Source organism: Homo sapiens, chromosome X (assembly GCF_000001405.40).
Source record: "Homo sapiens chromosome X, GRCh38.p14 Primary Assembly".
Lineage (NCBI taxonomy): Eukaryota > Metazoa > Chordata > Mammalia > Primates > Hominidae > Homo > Homo sapiens.
In genome coordinates, this window is record NC_000023.11 from 150870225 (window position 1) to 150888549 (window position 18325).

General features: G+C 43.3%; 1 protein-coding gene across 7 annotated transcripts in view, besides 1 other annotated feature; it reads right to left on the minus strand.

The window, feature by feature from the left end:
* Window positions 1–18325, minus strand: part of CD99L2 (CD99 molecule like 2) — a 132333-nt gene that overhangs the window by 103889 nt on the left and 10119 nt on the right. The gene's annotated exons all lie outside the window — the stretch shown is intronic.
* Window positions 10475–10574: an enhancer, noted in NCBI's record as "active region_30025". NCBI's record gives its function as "activates an Ori minimal core promoter by ATAC-STARR-seq in GM12878 lymphoblastoid cells {active_cell/tissue: GM12878}" and the evidence as "EXISTENCE:reporter gene assay evidence [ECO:0000049][PMID:35858748]".

Below are 18325 nucleotides of genomic sequence, written 5' to 3' on the forward strand. Positions count from 1 at the left end.
CTACTGCCTGGGCTTCCCTCCCAGGCTGGCATGTTCCTCTGTGAAAGCATGTTTATGTTCCGTGCAACACAGCTCTGATGGACTAACAGACAGCCAAAGACAGGCGGACGAATTACAGAGTGCACAGATTTTAAGCCATACTTCCAGAGGCTGGAGTAAACAAGTCACAATGCCTTCATGGTACTAAACTGCCAGGAAGCAGTCCGTACAAAAATGAGCCGGGCATTGTGGCATGTGCCTGTAATCCCAGCTTCTCAGGAGGCTGAAGCAGAAGAATTGCTTAGCCAGTGAGGCAGAGGTTGCAAATTTGTCATCCTGCTCTGTGGAGGTATCATACTAATCAATGCATCAAACCCCAGAACTACAGGTTTCATATTCAATGTTTTAATGCCTGGTCACAAAGGATGTCCTCATCACATATTCCTCCCTCCTCCCAGGCTCAGGAACTGCTGCCACCAGAAAGGCTCCACCTCCTACACCCCTCCTTTAACAGGGGCTGGGACAGCCAGAGCCACTGTCTCACCCCACTGCACTGCACCCCCCCATCCTAGCAGCCCCAGAATCCCTAACTCTCTTGGGAGAGTCCGCCTTGCTCCAGGAGGGAAGAAAAGGCAGCAAGCAGTTATTTTCCTGTATAAGGGACAAGCAGAACTGTGCACATACACTCCTGAGAAGAGGGGGAATGCGAGGAGTGACGGGAGCACTCGCACCCATCTGGCACGCTGGCTGAGGGCTGAGCATCTACAGGAACTAGCGAAACAATCCCTATGCCTCCCACACACAAAAGGATTTTTAACATTTAAAATTGTGGGAAATGTCGACAGTCCCATTTCCTTTTAAATAACTTATTCTTGGATGTGCAGTAAGGCTTGGGCCAAAAGGTTAATATTCCTTTATCAGAAGGCTTAGAAGACACAGAAATCATTTTTGCTATTTGCTGCTTTGAAAATGCAGAAAGGAGGAAAATGACAAGACAGGGGAACAGTTGGTCCTTTTTTTTACCTTCAACCTCAAGCTGTAACCCCACACCAGAGATTACTCACATAACTAAAAACAGGCTCTGACCTCTTGCTCAAGCACTCATATTTATATCCTCTATCTCTCAAAACCCCTGGAAAATATCAGAAAAGCAGCCTACAAGCAAATACATTCATGAAAGCACTAGAAACACGAGGCAGGTAGGGAGGGCATCCACAGATTCAGACTGAAGGTTGATAAGATTGGAATGACAGAAAAATCAAAGCTGGAGGAGCCGAACACCAGCAAATATTGGATATGGTGCAGAGGAACTGGAACTCATATACTGCTGGTAGGAGTAGAAAATGGTACAACCACTTTGGAAAACTCTAACTGTTTCTTAGAAAAAGTTAAACATCTTCACACCCCATGAGTCAGCAATCTCACTCCTAGGTTCCATCCAAGAGAAATGAAAACATATCCCCAAAAAGCCTTGGACACAAATATTCGCAGCAGCTTGATTTGTAATAGCTCTAAAGTGAAAATAACCCAAGTGTCCATCAATAGGAGAATAGATAAATAGAATAGATGCACATAATGGAAAACTGTTCAGCAGTGAAAAGGAATGCTGACACATACAGTACGGCTGAATCTTGAAAACATTATGCTGCATGAAAGAGCTAGAAACAAAAAAGGAAATAATCTATAGTTTCAATTCTATGAAATTCTAGAAGAGATAAAATTAACCTATGGTATAAAAATCAGATCAGGCTGGGCACAACGGCTCACCTGTCATCCCAGCACTTCAGGAGGCTGAGATAAGAGAATCACTTGAGCCCAGGAGTTCAAGACAAGCCTGGGCAATGTAGGGAGACCCTGTCTCTACAAAAAAGTTAAAAATCAGCCAGTCATGGTGGTACATGCCTATGGTCCCAGCTACTTGGGAGTCTGAGGTGGAAGGATTGCTGGAGCCCGGGAGGTCAAGGCTGCAGTGAGCTGTGATTGTGCCACTGTACTCTAGCCTGGGTGACAGAGTGAGACCCTGTCTCAAACAAAAACAAACAAAAAAACACTCATAAACAGATCAGTGGTTGCTGGGGGCAAGGTGGGGAAGTGCTATGAGGGAACATTCTGGGGGTGACAGAAAATGTTCTGTCTTGATATGCACTCATTGAAACTGACTGAACTTAAAGATCTTAATATGTTAGCATTTTACTGTATGTGAATTATACCTCATTAAAAAAATGTTTAGGAAACATACCAGAACTGAGCAACAAAATTTTAAAACACTACCAAAGATGACTACTGAAGATCTTAATATCAGAAAGTTTTCCTGTGTGTAAATTATACCTCAATATGTTAAAAAAAAAAAAAAACTTAAGAACTATACTAGATACGAGTGGAAAAATATTTAAAACACTACTGAAGGCTACTCTGGGCACACTGCCTATAAGGCAGCCCTGCTCTGCAAGGAGCAGTTAAAAAAAAAAAAATCCCCCACTACTGAAGAACACAAAAGAAGACTTGAGCAAATGAAAAGACACACTAGGTTGAGGATAAGGGGACCCAATATCAAAAAGACATCAATTCTCCCTCTGTTAATTTCTAAATAGGACAGTGTTTAAAATGCAAATAGGAACAAGGAAAGGTATGGGAAGGAGCAAAGCTCAGCAAACAGTAGAGGATGGGCCAGTGGCCTGAGCAGGCCTGGCACCAAGAAGCAGTCCCTGTTCAGTTGGCCCCAACCTGGTCACTCACCACCTACAGCTCCAGCATGCAGCCTTCCCCCTCCACCTGTGTCCACTCCCATCCTCCCAGCCAGCTCTCCATTGAGGAATATCACCGAGCATTACCAGACACTGGGAAAAAACCAGCAGCCTCTACTCATTTATCCAACAGCTGGTTACCGACGAGCATGAACAGGTGCCCAGCTCTCATTTCAGCCCTGAGAAACATCCTCGAATGAGGTGGCTGCAGCTGACGACCTCACAGAGCAGAGTTCTAGTGGGAGAGGTACATCCATGTAGTGGAATATAATCCAGCCACAAAAAGGAACAAAGACGCATTGATCCATGCTACAACCTGGATAAGCCTTGAAAACATGATGCTAAGTGAAACGAGTCAGTTGCAAAAAGCCACATACGGTATGAGTCCACTTACAAGAAATGTCCAGAATAGGCAAATCCATACAGACTAGAAGTAAATTCGTGGTTGCCCAGGGTTGTGAGGTGGGACAAATATGGAGTGACTGCTTAATAGATACAGGGTCTCTTTTTGCAGTGATGAAAGTGTTTCAGAGCTGGTGAGAGACGCACAGCCTTGTGAACGCACTAAATGCCATTGAATTGCACACTTTAAAATGGTCAATTGTATGGGATGTGAATTATATCTCAATTTTTTTAAAGCCATAAAAAATGAAAAGTCCATTTCAGGATCCTACATTCACAGGGAAGGTAGCATAAAGATGATTCTAGTGAGACACTGCAGGGAATCGGGTTGGAGTCTACCATCTAAAACTGAGGCTGGTCTGCATAACAGGAAGGGAGAAGAGGAATGAGAAGGAGCCAAGCACCCAGAGCATGAGATGGGGAAGAGATGAGTCACATGCCTGGCTCACTATAAATACACCTGGCCTCCAACCAGGGCCTGAGCCTGACTACCCAAACATGAAACAGGATGTACCTTCCAGGGACCAGGGTGCCCTGCTTGAACACAAGTTCTGAACCTGCTGCTGTGATTCAAGTTTCTGCAAATTCAATCCTATTTCCAATGACCTAAGGAGCTTTCATTTCAAAGGAAATCCTGCAGTGAATGCTTTTCATAGGGTTATAGAACCAGGAAGTTAGCATGGGACCATTTAGTCACCATAAACCAAAGACCTATGGAGTACCAGGTACTAGAGGAGACAGAAAGATTAGAAAACCAGAGTTCTTGGCCTCGGTCTAGTGGCAGAGACATTTAAACAAATGGGGCTATGAGAGCCTCACACGTGAGGTGCTACCTGATGCCAGCAGCAGCCACTAGCTCTGCCTGCAGGCTTTTAGGGAGTAGGTAGCATTGGAGCTAGGCTCAGAGACGTGAGCAGCCATTCTCTGGGAGCAGAGGGAGATGGCCTTCAGGCAGAGGAAACCTCCTGAGTCAGGTCTTAGTGGTTTAGTAGCCCATCATTCTCAGAATAGGAAGATGCTAGTGAGGAAGAAGGAATTGGGAGAGTGGGAACAGAGTGTGTGGCAAGGAACAGCCACAGGAAAAGAGGAAGGCAGGTGAGAAAGGCCAGTGGGAAGAGTTCAGAGGGGCTGCAGGAGTAAGAGGGTTCTGAGATGACCTACATGTGTCCCCTAGCCTACAGGCTAGAAGGATGGCACCATCCACCAAATGGGGGGCGGGGGCGGGGGCGGGGGAAGTATCGCAGGAGAGGGAGCCTTCAGGAGAAATGCCACACCCAGGTTTGCACCTGGCAGGCTTGAGGCCTCATTCTTCTGACTCCTCTACTGGCTTTGATGTCACTGGGCAACCTTCCTTGAAACACTTTGTCCTAAACCTCTGCAACATTTTCCTCCTCTGAATCTTGTCCTATCTCACTCATCACTCCTACTTGGTGGCCTTCACTGATCTGGCTCTGTCTAGCTCTTCAATTTCGGTGTTCCCCAGAAAGACAGAAATCTTTCATGTTCCCCCATTCTCCCAGACTGATTCCACCTGTTCCTATGATTTTAGTTTTTATTTTAGCTCCCCTCCACAAACTAGGTCCCCACACTCAGAGTGGCTCCCAAGCTCTGAACCCAGGCCTTCCTGCCAGGCATCTCTCTCTATCTGATCAATTACATTGAGATCTGTTTAAATACTTCAGTGTTTACTGCCACCTCTTTCCTCCCTTGGCCTCCCCTTTTCTGAGTACAACCCTCTTGCTTGGCTGTTTTATACTATTAAGTAGATGTCTCCAGGAGGGTTGCTGAGTGACATGTAATTCCTAAAGCATTATATTATTTAATTGAAATTTTTATTGAGATAATTACAGATTCACAGACAGGTATAAGAAATAATACAAAGAGATCCCTTGTACACTTAGCTCAGTTTACTTTACACAAATATCACACTATGCAAAATTATAGTGCACTATCACAATCAGGATGCTGACATTGATATAACCACACATCGTATTCAGAATTTCCCCAGTTTTACTTGCACTCATTTGTGCGTGTTCATTAAGTTCTATACAACTTTTCACATGAGTGAGTCATGTAACCACCACCATAGTCAAGATAAAGAACAAGTTTAATCCCCATAAGGATCCCCTGTACTGCCCTTTTATAAGAGTACCTACCTCTCTCCCACCTCCTCTTTCCCCCACACCTGTCCCTAACCCCTGAAAACCACTACTCTGTTCTCCATCTCTATAATAGTGTTACTCCAAGAATGTCACATTAGAATCATGCAGTATGTGTTTGATATGGTTTGGCTGTGTCCCCACCCAAATCTCATCTTGAATTCCCATGTGATGTGGGAGGGACCTGGTGGGAGGTAACTGAATCATTGGGGCAGGTCTTTTCTGTGCTGTTCTCATGATGGTGAGTAAGTCTCACAAGATCTGACAGTTTTATGAGAAAGAGTTTCCCTGCACAAGCTCTCTCTTTGCCTGCCACCATCCATGTAAGATGTGACTTGCTCCTCCTTGCCTTCTGCCCTGATGTGAGGCCTCTCCAGCCACGTGGAATTGTAAGTCCATTAAACCTCTTTCTTTTGTAAATTGCCCAGTCTCAGGTATGTCTTTATCAGCAGCATGAAAACAGACTAATACAGAATTCTTCTAAGACTGCCTTTGTTCATGTCGCATGATGCATTTGAGATCCATCCAGGTTGTTGTGGTGTCAATAGTTTGTTCTTTTTTATTACTGAGTTGTATTCCATGGTATGAGACATGTGGGCTGATTCCAGTGTTTGGCAATTAGGAATAAAGCTGTTATGAACATGTGTGTACAGGAAGCCTTACATTTTTCAGAATGCTTTTGTGTTGCCTCTCCATGAGAATGACAACTTAGATCACACACTTTTGCCCTCTAAGTTAGTAGAGGCATTACCCCAATTTCTTCTGGCATCAAATATTGTCACGAAGAAGGGTGAAGTGAACCTGAGTTCTTTTCTTCTAATAGGTGATTTGCTCCTTCTGCCTAGTTTCTTTTAAAAATGTTCACCAAAAGAGATCACCTCACTAACTTAATCAAGGAAAAAAAGGGCTGACATAAATTAGGAATGAGAAAATAGTAACTACTAATACAAAACAAATCAAAATAATGGTAAGACAAAGCTTTATACAGCTCCATTCTCATGAATGGGAAAAATCTAGCTTTATTTATTGATTACCTCTTTCATTTATTTGACAAATATCTACCAACACCTAGCATGTGCCTTATCCTGTTCTAGGTCCTGGGAATATAACAGTGAACAAAACAGATTTTTTAAATCCTGCCTTTATGAAACTTATATTCAACTAGATGAAATGGTTATCATCATAGAAATACACACATTTTCAAAATTTAGTCAGGAAGAAAGACAAAAATCTAAACAGAGAAAATGCCACGGGGAAGAACAGGAAAGTTGTCTTTGAATTACCTCTTTAAAAGAATCAACCTAGGCTCAGTCCACAAAAGAATTATGTCAGTCCTCAAAAGACAGATAATTTCTCTCCTGTTCCAATTTTCCAGAGCAGAGAAATAAGAAAAACTGCCCATTTCTTTTAGTAACAGCTGGAAAAGGTAGTACAGAAAAACTATACTACAGTCTAATCTCACTTTTAAATACTGATATAAAAATCATATCTAGGTCAGGCATGGTGGCTCATGCCTATATTCCCAGTACTTTGGGAGGCCAATGCAGGAGGACTGCTTGAGCCCAAGTGATCGAAACCAGCATGGACAACATAGCGAGACCCTGTCTCTTAATAAAAAAAAAAAAAAAAGAAAGAAAGAAACAAAAAAGTCATAAATATACAGAAAAACTATTGATAGAATTTACTACATTAACAGGTTAAATAGAAGCAGAGAGACCTTGGGAGACACCAAAGGACCACTTGATAAAATTTGGCATCCAATTCTGATTTTTTAAAAAGACAAATCCTTAGTAAAAATAGGAGTCAGGATTTATCCTTAATGTGATAAAAATACATATCACAAACTAAAGTCAAGAACAAGCAAAGAGACTATTAGCACCACTATTATTTAATAGCCAGTAGAATCAGATAAGAGAACCAGATAAGTGATTATAAAGGGAAAAATATTGGAAGAGGAAAGTCATCACTATTTGCAGATAATATGGTTATATACCTGGAAATGCCAACAGAATCAAGAGCAAAACTAGGAAAGGCCAGGCATGGTGGCTCATACCTGTAAGCCCAGCACTTTGAAAGACTGAGGCAGGAGGATTGCTTGAGGCCAGGAGTTTAAGACCAGCTTGGGCATAACAAGAGCCCGTTTCTACATAAAATTTAAAAATTAGCCAGGTGTGGTGGCATGTGCCTGTAGTCCCAGCTACTCAGGAGGCTACGGCAGAAGAACTGCTTGAGGCCAGGAGTTTGAGGCTGCAGTGAGCTGTGATCGCACCACTGCATTCCAGCCTGGGCAACAGTGAGTCCACGTCTCAAAAAAAGAAAACAACACTAAAAATACACAAAACAATAAAACTAGGAGAAATAAAAATAAAAAGATTGTTAGGTAAAGTGGCTAACGAAGAATGCTAGGCACTCCAGGCTGGGTAACAGAGTAAGACCTTATCTCAAACACATACACACACACACACACACACACACACACACACACACACACACACACCAGTAGCTTTCTCAGACACCAACAATCCTCACTTAGAGAACATAGTAGGGGGCCAGGTGCAGTGGCTCACGCTTGTAATCCCAGCACTTTGGGAGGCTGAGGCAGGCAGATCACCTGAGGTCAAGAGTTCAAGACCAGCCTGGCCAACATGGTGAAACCCTGTCTCTACTAAAAATACAAAAATTAGCTGGGCATGGTGGCACATGCCTGTAATCCCAGCTACTCAGGAGGCTGAGACAGGATAATCACTTGAACCCGGGAGGCGGAGGCTGCAGTGAGCCAAGATCATACCACTGCACTCCAGCCTGGGCAACAAGGGCAAAACTCTGTCTAAAAAAAAAAAAAGGGAAAGAAAACACCATGGGGGAAAAATGTCCCATTCACAACAGGAATATATACTACAGAGCACTTGAGAATAAGTCTGACAAGCAATGTGAAAAATAAACTTGAAAAAAGTCATAAAACACAAAGACAACAGAACTAAATATAGAGAGACCTTGAATTTGAATAGGAAAACTTAATACTACTAAAAAAAAAAAAGAAGGAAAGAAAAGAAAAAAAAAAGGAAAAAAATGTTGATTTTCCTAAGACTCTCACCTAGTCAATGCAAGTGCAATCGGAATCCCAACGGACTTTTTTTAAAAACTTGACTCTAAAGTATATGTGAATAAAATGCATGGGAAGATAAATTTCAAAACAAGAGTAATTTTTTAAAGGCCTGCCCCTATCAGATTCTAAAATTTCTGCAATTTATTAATCAAAGCAACATTTAAATACATTTTTTAAATTGCAGTACACATATGACCCAGCTCATCATTAACTGTTTACATTCAATGCTTGACCCCAATATCAATTCAAAGGTCATTGGGGTCCATTATTTGGATATCACTAATGTAGACATTTCCTGCTACCAACTCTAAATAAGCAGTTCTATGCCACATTGCTACCATTGCCTGCTCTCTATCAAGCTAATTTAAGGACTTTCTTATATACATTCTCCCAAATAACAACTCTACAGCAAGGAGTGAGGTCACCCCTTCCTTCCAATTCCACTCATCAGAGAGGTCACTGGTATCAATGATTTGGGACCTGCTACTTCAATAATCAACCTAAAAAATACAGGTACCCTGGTGGCCGTAGAGAAACCTTCCAGTAGACAAGAGGGGAAGATGACAGAAGTCACACTCCAGTTTGACTGAGAATTGAAGGCAGATGAGGTAGAAAGGTAGGGAGTGGAGACCTAAAGGAGAAAGGAGATAAGATACTAGCTTATTAAAAGGGAGGCAGAGGAAAGAGAGATGTTGAAGGATGAAGGAAAACTTTAGCTTTTTAGGTGAGTGGAAAGAATTAAGAAAAGGGAGAAGGTGGCAATTGAAAACATAGAGCAGAAGTGTTGAATTTGACCAATAAGGTCCCTGCTCTCAAGTAGGAAGATGCATTTATAAAGGAATGATATACCATGAAGTACCTGGCAACAGATAAATCTAACAAGAAACATGAAGGACTCACCGTGATTCAGGGTATGGCCAGGGCCTCCTGGTTCCAGGTTTAGTGCCCTTTGCCTTAAACAGAATTTTACTCCAGAACACATGATCTAATGAGCACATAAAAGGATGCCCAAGCCAGGTGTGGTGGCTCACACTTGTAATCCCAGCACTTTGGGGGCCAAGGCAGAAGGATCAATTGAGCCTAGGAGTTCAAGACCAGCCTGGGCAACATGGCGAAACCCTGTCTCTACAAAAACTAAAAAAAAAAAAAAAAAAAAAAAAAAAAGCTCGGCATGGTGGTACACACCTGTAGCCCCAGCTAATCAGGAGGCTAAGGTGGGAAGATTGGTTGAGCCTGGGAGGCAGAGGCTGCAGTGAGCCTTGTTGGTGCCACTGCACTCCAGCCTGGGTGACAGAGCAACACCCTGTCTCCAAAAAAAAAAAAAAAAAAAAAAAGACACCCAACTTCATTAGTCACTAGGGAAATGCAAATCAAACCCAAACCCATCATGAGTTACCACTTCACACTTACCAGGATGACTAAAATAAAAATGAAACAGAAAATAACAAGTGTTGGCAAGGACATAGAGAAACTGGAACCTTCCTACACTGCTGGTGGGATTGTAAAATGACACAGCAACTTTGTAAAATAGTCTGACAGTTCCTTACAAAGTTAAACATAGCATTACCATATGACTTCACAACTCCACCCAAGAGAATTAAAAACATAAGTCCACACAAACACCTGTACATAACTGTTCACAGCAGCACCATTCATAGCAGCTGCAAAGCAGAAACAACCTGAATGTTCATCAGCTGGGGAACAGATAAACACCATGTGGTCTACCCATAAAATGGAATACTATTTGACCATAAAAAGGAATGAATATCTGATCCATGCTACAACGTGGATGGACCTTGACAATATCACGCTAAGTAAAAGAAGCCAGACACAAAAGGCCAGATATTATATCATTCCATTTATATGAATGCCCAGAATAGGGAAATCCATAGAGGCTGAAAGCAGATTAGTAGCTGCTGAGGGCCAGGGGGAAGGTGGGAAATGGGAGGGGCTGGTAAGGGGTTTCTTTTTAGGGTAATAAAATGTTCTAAAATTAGATAATGAGAGTGATGGTTGCACAGTTTTGAATACACTAGAAACCACCGAGCTGTGTATTTTAACAGGTAAATCGTATGGTGTGTGAAAGAAAATGGAACTGTTTTAACATGTGGGAGGAGAAAGGAAATTAATCCTCTACACAAAAAAGCCTTCTGTAGTTTAGAGGCAGTGGATATAAAGGACGCATCTGTGACTTGGGGCAAGTCTCTTTGTGACTTTCTACCACTATTTTCTCTTCTAAAAAGAAGATTGGGGCCTTCCAAGAAACCCACCCTCACTCTCTAGTTACCTCTCTGAATTTCCTGTCTCCTAGGTTCTGTCATGGTTGTTCTTAGAATCTTGTCAGTACTTCAATGTACTTCAATGCTTGAGGGCTGCAGTCACCTGGCTGTTGACCTGCTTCCTGAGGCTGTCCTCTCCTGACTTCCAGTACCCTTCCTCCTAGCGAGAGGGAGCTAGAGCGAGTGAGAGGGAGCTGCCTGGCTGTGGCTGGGTTCTCTCTTCACCCCAAGTCATCCTGCCCTTGGTCCCTTGACCTCCTTCCTCCTCTCCAGTGTCCTTCATGCTCTCATTTCACTTCATCCCACACTGGACAAGAAACTGTCCCGCCTTGGAAATCCCACTCTGTGGCCTTGGCTCTATCTTCCCACTCGTGGCCCAACCTATACCCCAGCAGGCCTGCAGAGCCTGCCAGGCCACCCTCAGGAATCCTTTCTGGTCCTCCTCAAACCTTCAATGGGCTCTACCTCCTTTGCCACCTGGCACAGTCCCAGCTAGGTCATCGCAGAGATTGTAGCCAGAGCCAGCAATACCTGTCACAATGCTCTGCCCCTGCCCTGCCAATCCTCAACTTTGAAAAGAGAACCCACTCTCCCAACCCCACTGGACCAGGAGCTCCTTGAAACACAGTCAGTGCCCGCATCACCATTGGTCCAGCACCAAGCAAGATGCCTGGTGCATACACAGCACTCAATTAACAGTTCTTGGAGGGAACTGACCAGGAATGGTGATCTCGCCACCAGCCAGCCTTGCTGTATTCTGGGGTGGTGCCACATTGCAGGAGAAAGTCTTGTATCACTGTCCTGATTAGCACCGGCACAGGTGCCAGCTCAGGGTGTTTGAGTCAAGCCAGGCCCTTGGGGTACCTTGGCAATCCACATTTCCTTAATTGGCTCCCTTTGTACCTGACAGTACTCTTTCCAATTTTTTTTTTTTTTTTTTTTGAGACGGCGTCTCGCTCTGTTGCCCAGGCTGGAGTGCAATGGCATGATCTCAGCTCACTGCAACCTCCGCCTCCCGGGTTCAAGCGATTCTCCTGCCTCAGCCTCCTGAGTAGCTGGGACTACAGGCGCCCGCCAACACGCCCAGCTAATTTTTATACTTTTAATAGAGACGGGGTTTCACCATGTTGGCCAGGATGGTCTCGATCTCTTGACCTTGTGATCCGCCCGCCTCGGTCTCCCAAAGTGCTGGGATTACAGGCGTGAGCCACCGCGCCCGGACTACTCTTTCCAATCTTAACTCTCTACCTGGCTCCTCATATACTCAGCACAAGACCTTGTTTCCTCCTCCAGGGAAAAGACCAAGGCCATTAGGCAGGATGGCTCCACGTGCCCTTCAGCCATCCCATGTGTACGTGTAATAAGAGTGACAAGAGTTAACATTAACTGAGCACCAAGGTTTAGACTCTCTCTCTCCTGCCTCTCCCTCCCACCCTGTAACTAGAAATAATGTTCATCCAAATATTATGTACAAAGATATTTAATGAAATGTCATTTATAACAGCAAAGACCTAGAGTCAACCTAAATATTCATCAAAAATTATATTCAGGCTGGACGCAGTGGCTCACGCCTGTAATCCTAGCACTTTGGGAGGCCAAGGGAGGCTGATCACTTGAGGTCAGGAGTTCGAGACCAGCCTGGCCAACATGGTGAAACCCCATCTCTACTAAAAATACTAAAAATTAGCCAGAAATCACTTGAACCCGGGAGGCGGAAGTTGCAGTCAGCCAAGACTATGGCACTGCACTCCAGACTGGGCAACAAGAGCCAGACTCCACCTCAAAAAATAAAAAAAAATTATATTCAAAACATGTTTTAACTATAATACATAAGATACTCTCACAATATAATTTGTGCTTCTAGTAATGGCAAAATAGATTATTTGGACCAATCTTCCCATTACAAACAACTAAAATGGTTGATTCTAAAATATCATTTTAAAACATTTAGAAGTGTTGAAGAACTGACAAGTTGGTAAAAAAAACAACCATGAGAGGCCGGGCATGGTGGCTCATGCCTGTAATCCTAGCACTTTGGGAGGCTGAGGTGGGCGGATCACCTGAGGTCAGGAGTTCGAGACCAGCCTGACCAACATGGCGAAACCCGTCCCTACTAAAAATACAAAATTAGCTGGGCGTGGTGGTGCATGCCTGTAATCCCAGCTACTCGGGAGGCTGAGGCAGGAAAATCACTTGAAGCCGGGAGAATCGCTTGAAGCCGGGAGGCGGAGGTTGCAGTGAACCAAGATCACGCCATTGCACTCCAGCCTGGGCAACAAGAGCAAAACTCCATCTCAAAAACAAAAACAAAAACAAAACAAACAAACAAAAAAAACCATGACAACCCATAAAAGACAGTGGAAAATCCAGGGAGGTAGGAGTCCATGCACATGCAGCCACAGGCTCTGAGGACATCTGCCAATCTGGACAAATTTTGACTTTGGTTTTGACAATCTTCCAAGGCAGGCAAAGGGGGCTGAAGAGCAGGCCCATGACCATTAAAGGAATGTAACAGAAAATTCTTCTCATATTAAGCTGGGACCCCAACGTGTTACACCCTTGGGGCAAGGGCGACTCAGAAACAAATATGCCCCTCCCAAATTCCACCCCCAGAGGATTGCAAGAAAGGCTGCCTTGATGATGGCAAAACAAAGCGAAAATGGTAGAAACTTTAAGGTAGTCCCAGACTAATCACACAAGGCACCTGACAAAAACCAAACATAAATTCTTCTCTGGAAGAAGGCAAATTTACCCTAGACTTCAAAGATTCCCCAGATATATATTTCAGTTACAATAAGCAGTACACAGCCAAAAAAATAAATAAATAAGTAAACCACCAAGCACACGAGGAAATAAAGAATCATGAGTGAGTATTAGTAGAAAAAGAATAAACAGGAAAATGAGCCAAAGACAACCAGGCAATTCATAAAAGAGGAAACCAAACTGGAAGATAAACATAGGAAAAGATGTTCAACCTCATTAGTAACCAGAAAGATGCAAACGAAACCATTACAATATTATAAAAAGCCCCAGTAGGCTAAATATCATAGTCAAGTCTGACAATACCAAGCGCTGGTGAGGCTGGCACAACAACTTTTTTACACTGCTGGTAGGAATATAAATTGGTACAACCATTTTGGAAGACAGTTTAGTACCACCTCATAAAACTCAAGTTCCAAATACTGCATAACTCAGGAAATTCACTTCTAGGTATAACCCTAGAGAAGCAATTTTCAAACTTTTTGGCCTGAAAGATTTTAAATATACTCAAAATTATTGAGGACCTCAAAGAGCTTTTATTTGTATCAGTGACTGCTATTGATATTTATCATATTAGAAATTAAAACAGGCATTTTTAAACCATATGACACAAGCACACACTCCATTAGCCATCAGGGTGATGATACTGCATGTCACATAGCCTCTAAAAAACGCCACTGCATACTCGTGAGAGGAGAATGGGAAAGGCAGTTAACATCCTAGGATTAATATATAAGTAGTTGGGCTGGGCACAATGTCTGACACCTGTAATCCCTGCAGTTTGGGAAGCTGAGGTGGGTGGATTGCTTGAGCTTGGGGTTCAAGACTAGCCTGGGTAACATGGTGTAACCCCATCTCTACCAAAAATACAAAAAATTAGCCAGGCATGCTGGCATGCACCTGTGGTCCCAGTGACTGGGGAGGCTGAGGGGGGAGGATCAATCACTTGAGCCCGGGAAGTGGAGGTTGCAGTGAGCTGAGAATGCACCACTGCACTCCAGCCTGGGCAGCAGAGTGAGATCCCATCTCAATCAACCAATTAATCAATCAATAAATGTAGGTGGACCTTGTAGACCCCCTGAAGAAGTCTCATAGGCCCCCACAAGGGTCCTCAGAGCACAGTGTGAGAACCTCTGCCCTAGAGAAACTTTTGCACATCTGCCTAAGAATGCTCCTGGCAGCACTACTTAAAATGGCCCCAAACTGGAAATTATCCAAATGTTCATTAATAAGAGAATGAATTAAAAAACAACTTGTGATATAGTCAAACAGTGGAATAACATATAGCAACGAAAACAAATGAACTACAGTGACACACAACAGATCGACAATAATGTTGGGGGAAAGACAAAACAGATTACACATGGTGTGATCCCATTTCTACAAGGTTAGAAGACAGGTAAAACAAAACTATATGATTTATGGCTGCATACATAGGTGGCAGAGTATAAAGTAAAGGGAGAAAATGACCGCACAAAAGTCGGTAGTGTCTACCTCTACAGGGAGGGAGGGGGCTGTGACTGGGAGGGGCACACAGGGGTCTGTACAAGTGTTGTCAACATTCTATTTCTCGACCTGGTCGGTGGTGACACAGGTTTTCATTTTATACATTTTTGTTAAACTTTACATATATGGCTGAGACAGGAATATTGCTTGAGGCCAGGAATTCAGACAAGCCTGGGAAACACAGTGAGACTCCACTTCTACAAAAAAACAACAACAACAAAAAAACAACAACAACAACAACAAAAACTTTACATATAGGCTTTTCATGTTTTTCTATATCTGTTATATTTCACAATACAGGTGAAAACTATATACAGTTTGATGCCAATAATGTGAAATACATATTTCAGCATGGAAAAAATTATTGGCATACTGTATTCTAACATGCTAACAGTGGTTATCCCTAGGTAACGAGGTTTGTGTCTTCTCTACACTTCTCCACATTTCCCACGTTTACTACGAAGAGTATGTATTACTCTTGTAATTGTGTACACATTTGGTATGTCAGACTTTATTACAATTTTTAGTCTACCGGAGGGTATATAATGTTATCTTATTATAGTTTAATTTGCATCTCTCCGATTACTAATGAGGCTGATCATCTTTTTATATGTTTATTGTGCAATTTGATTTCTACCTATATGAATTGCCTGGTCAAATTTTTGGCTCATTTTGCTGTTTATTCTTTTTCACTGGTTCGCAGAAAATCATTAAATGCATTAAAAAAGACAAGGTCACCATCTAAAATGGAAACTAATAAGGGTGAACATAAAAGAGATGAGACGAGCCATCTGTGGAAATCTATGCAGAAAATAACTAACTACACAGATTGGTGATGCATATGGTCTCACTAGGGTGACCTGAAAGCTCATCAAGGAGTCTAAGGTATGTTCCTAGAGTTGCCTGAGCTTAGAACTTGCCCTGTAGAGAAGAAAAAAATAGAACTGTCTGAGCTGATACCAATGCACAAGACTGGCTGAGACCTGACTTATTCCAACATGTCTGTCCTGGGCAATGTGACGATGGCAGAAAACTTTAGTGACTCGTGAACAATACTGAAAACAGAGCGATATTTCAAAGAATATATAGTCATGTGGCCACATAGCAATATATTTCAGCCAAATGATGGGCTGCATATACGATGGTGGTACCATAAGATTGTAACTGGGACCCTAGTTATTCTTATCACTTAGTGACATGGTAGCCATCATAACATGGTAGCACAACACATTACCTTTTCTATGTTTAGATGCATGAATGCTTGCCTTTGTATTACAACTGCCTACAGTATTCAGTACAGTCACATTGCTGTACAGGTTTGTAGCCTAGGGGCATGTAGTAGGCTATACCATCTATGCTTACGTAAGTACACTCCATGACGTTCACACAATGAGATCACATGACATTTCTCAGAACATCTCTCCATTGTTAAGCAAGGCATGGCTGTATCCGTCTTTACAGTCGTGGTTCTCAACAAGGGGTGATTCGCCACCCCCCACCCCCTAGGGGACACTCGGCAATGTCTGGAGTTATTTTTGGTTGACAAGACTAGGGAGGGGTGTACTACCCGCATCTAGTGGGCAGAAGCCAAGGATGCTGCTAAACATCCTCCAACACACAGGACACCCACCCGCCTTATCCCTTGCAGAACAATTATCTGGTCCAAAGGTCAGCAGTGCCATGGTTGAAAAACTCTGCTCAATAGTCTATCTAGGAGAGTGCTCAGGCCAAGCACCATGGCTCATGCTTGTAATCCCAACACTTTGAGAGGCTGAGGCGGGAGGATCACTTGAGCCCAGGAGTTTGAGATTCTGTCTCTACAAATAAATTAAAAAATTAGTTGGGTATGGTATCACATGTTTGTGGTCCCAGCTATGTGGGAGGCTGACGTGGGAAGATCCCCTGAGCCCAGGGCTTGAGGCAGCATTGAGCCATGATGGTGCCACCGCACTCTAACTTAGGTGACAGAGTGAGACTCTGTCAAAAAAAAAAAAAAACAATGAAGGCCAGGTGTGGTGGCTCACGCCTGTGATCCCACCACTTTGGGAGGCCAAGGTGGGTGGATCAACTGAGGTCAGGAGTTGGAGATCAGCCTGGCCAATATGGTGAAACCGTGTCTCTACTATTAATACAAAAATTAGCCAGGCATGGTGGCGCATGCCTGTAATCGCAGCTACTCAGGAGGCTGAGGCAGGAGAATTGCTTGAGCCCGGGAGGCGGAGGTTGCAGCGAGCTGAGAGTGCGCCACTGCACTTCAGCCTGGGTGACAAGAGCAAAACTCCGTCTCCAGAAATAAATAAATAAATAAATAAATAAATAAATAAATAAAATAAAAAAATAAAGCTCAACCCCCAGGGACTCTTCTTCCAGGTGAAGAAGGGCAAATCCCCAGGCTGCCCCACCTTGAGGGTTAATCCAAACTCCTTGAGACCTACACTCAGCAAGCTCCTCCAAGGCTACACAGTAGGCACTGTGCTGTCAGAAGGAGGCCTCCCTCACGGAGAAAGCCTGTACAAATAAGATCACTTGGAGCCCACAGAACATCAGTGCTGAAGGGCTCTCAGAATCAGCTGATCCATCCCCCGCTCAGAGAGAGAGAACCCGACCGCTGAGGACAGCAGCATGGCGTCACAGGAAGGAACAGAAAATGAAGAGGCACACACGGAGCTAGGCTACTAACTGGACACTAACAAATATACCTCATGGTGATTATTTCATAAAGAACTAGAGAGGTGAGAGAAGTCGCCATCACAATAGAGCTACAAGTAGTTACTCCCAGCTAGGAGAACTGGGATACGCTCCAGGGAGGGAGCAATATTTCAGCAGGACCCAGAAATGTGAGATTTGTGCGGCAGTTTTAAATGATGGCTAAGAATTCTTTGACACTCTTCCCTTAAGAGGTAGGATATATGTTCTCACTTTGAATCCAGACTACCCTCAACTGACTCATAACCTATGGAATTCAATGAAAGTCACGCTGGTAACTTCTGGGGCCAAGTCATAAAAGACCATGATCTAGGCATATATCCCAAAGAACTGAAAACAGTTGTTCAAACAAAGACTTGTGCACAAATGTCCACAGCAGCACTACTCACAATAGCCAAAGGGTGGAAACAACCCAAATGTCCATCAGCTGATGGCTGGACAAGCAAAACATGGTCTACCCGTACAATAGAATACTATTCAACCATAAGAAGAAATGGAGTACTGATCCACGCTACAACAGGCAGGAACTCAGAAAATATCATGCTAAGTGAAATAAGCCAGTCACAAAAGGACAAATACTACCTGATTCCGTTGCTATGAAATGTCCAGAATGGGCAAATCCAGATAGGAAGCAGATGAGCCAGTGCCAGGGGTTAGGGGAGGGGGAATGATGATGATCACACA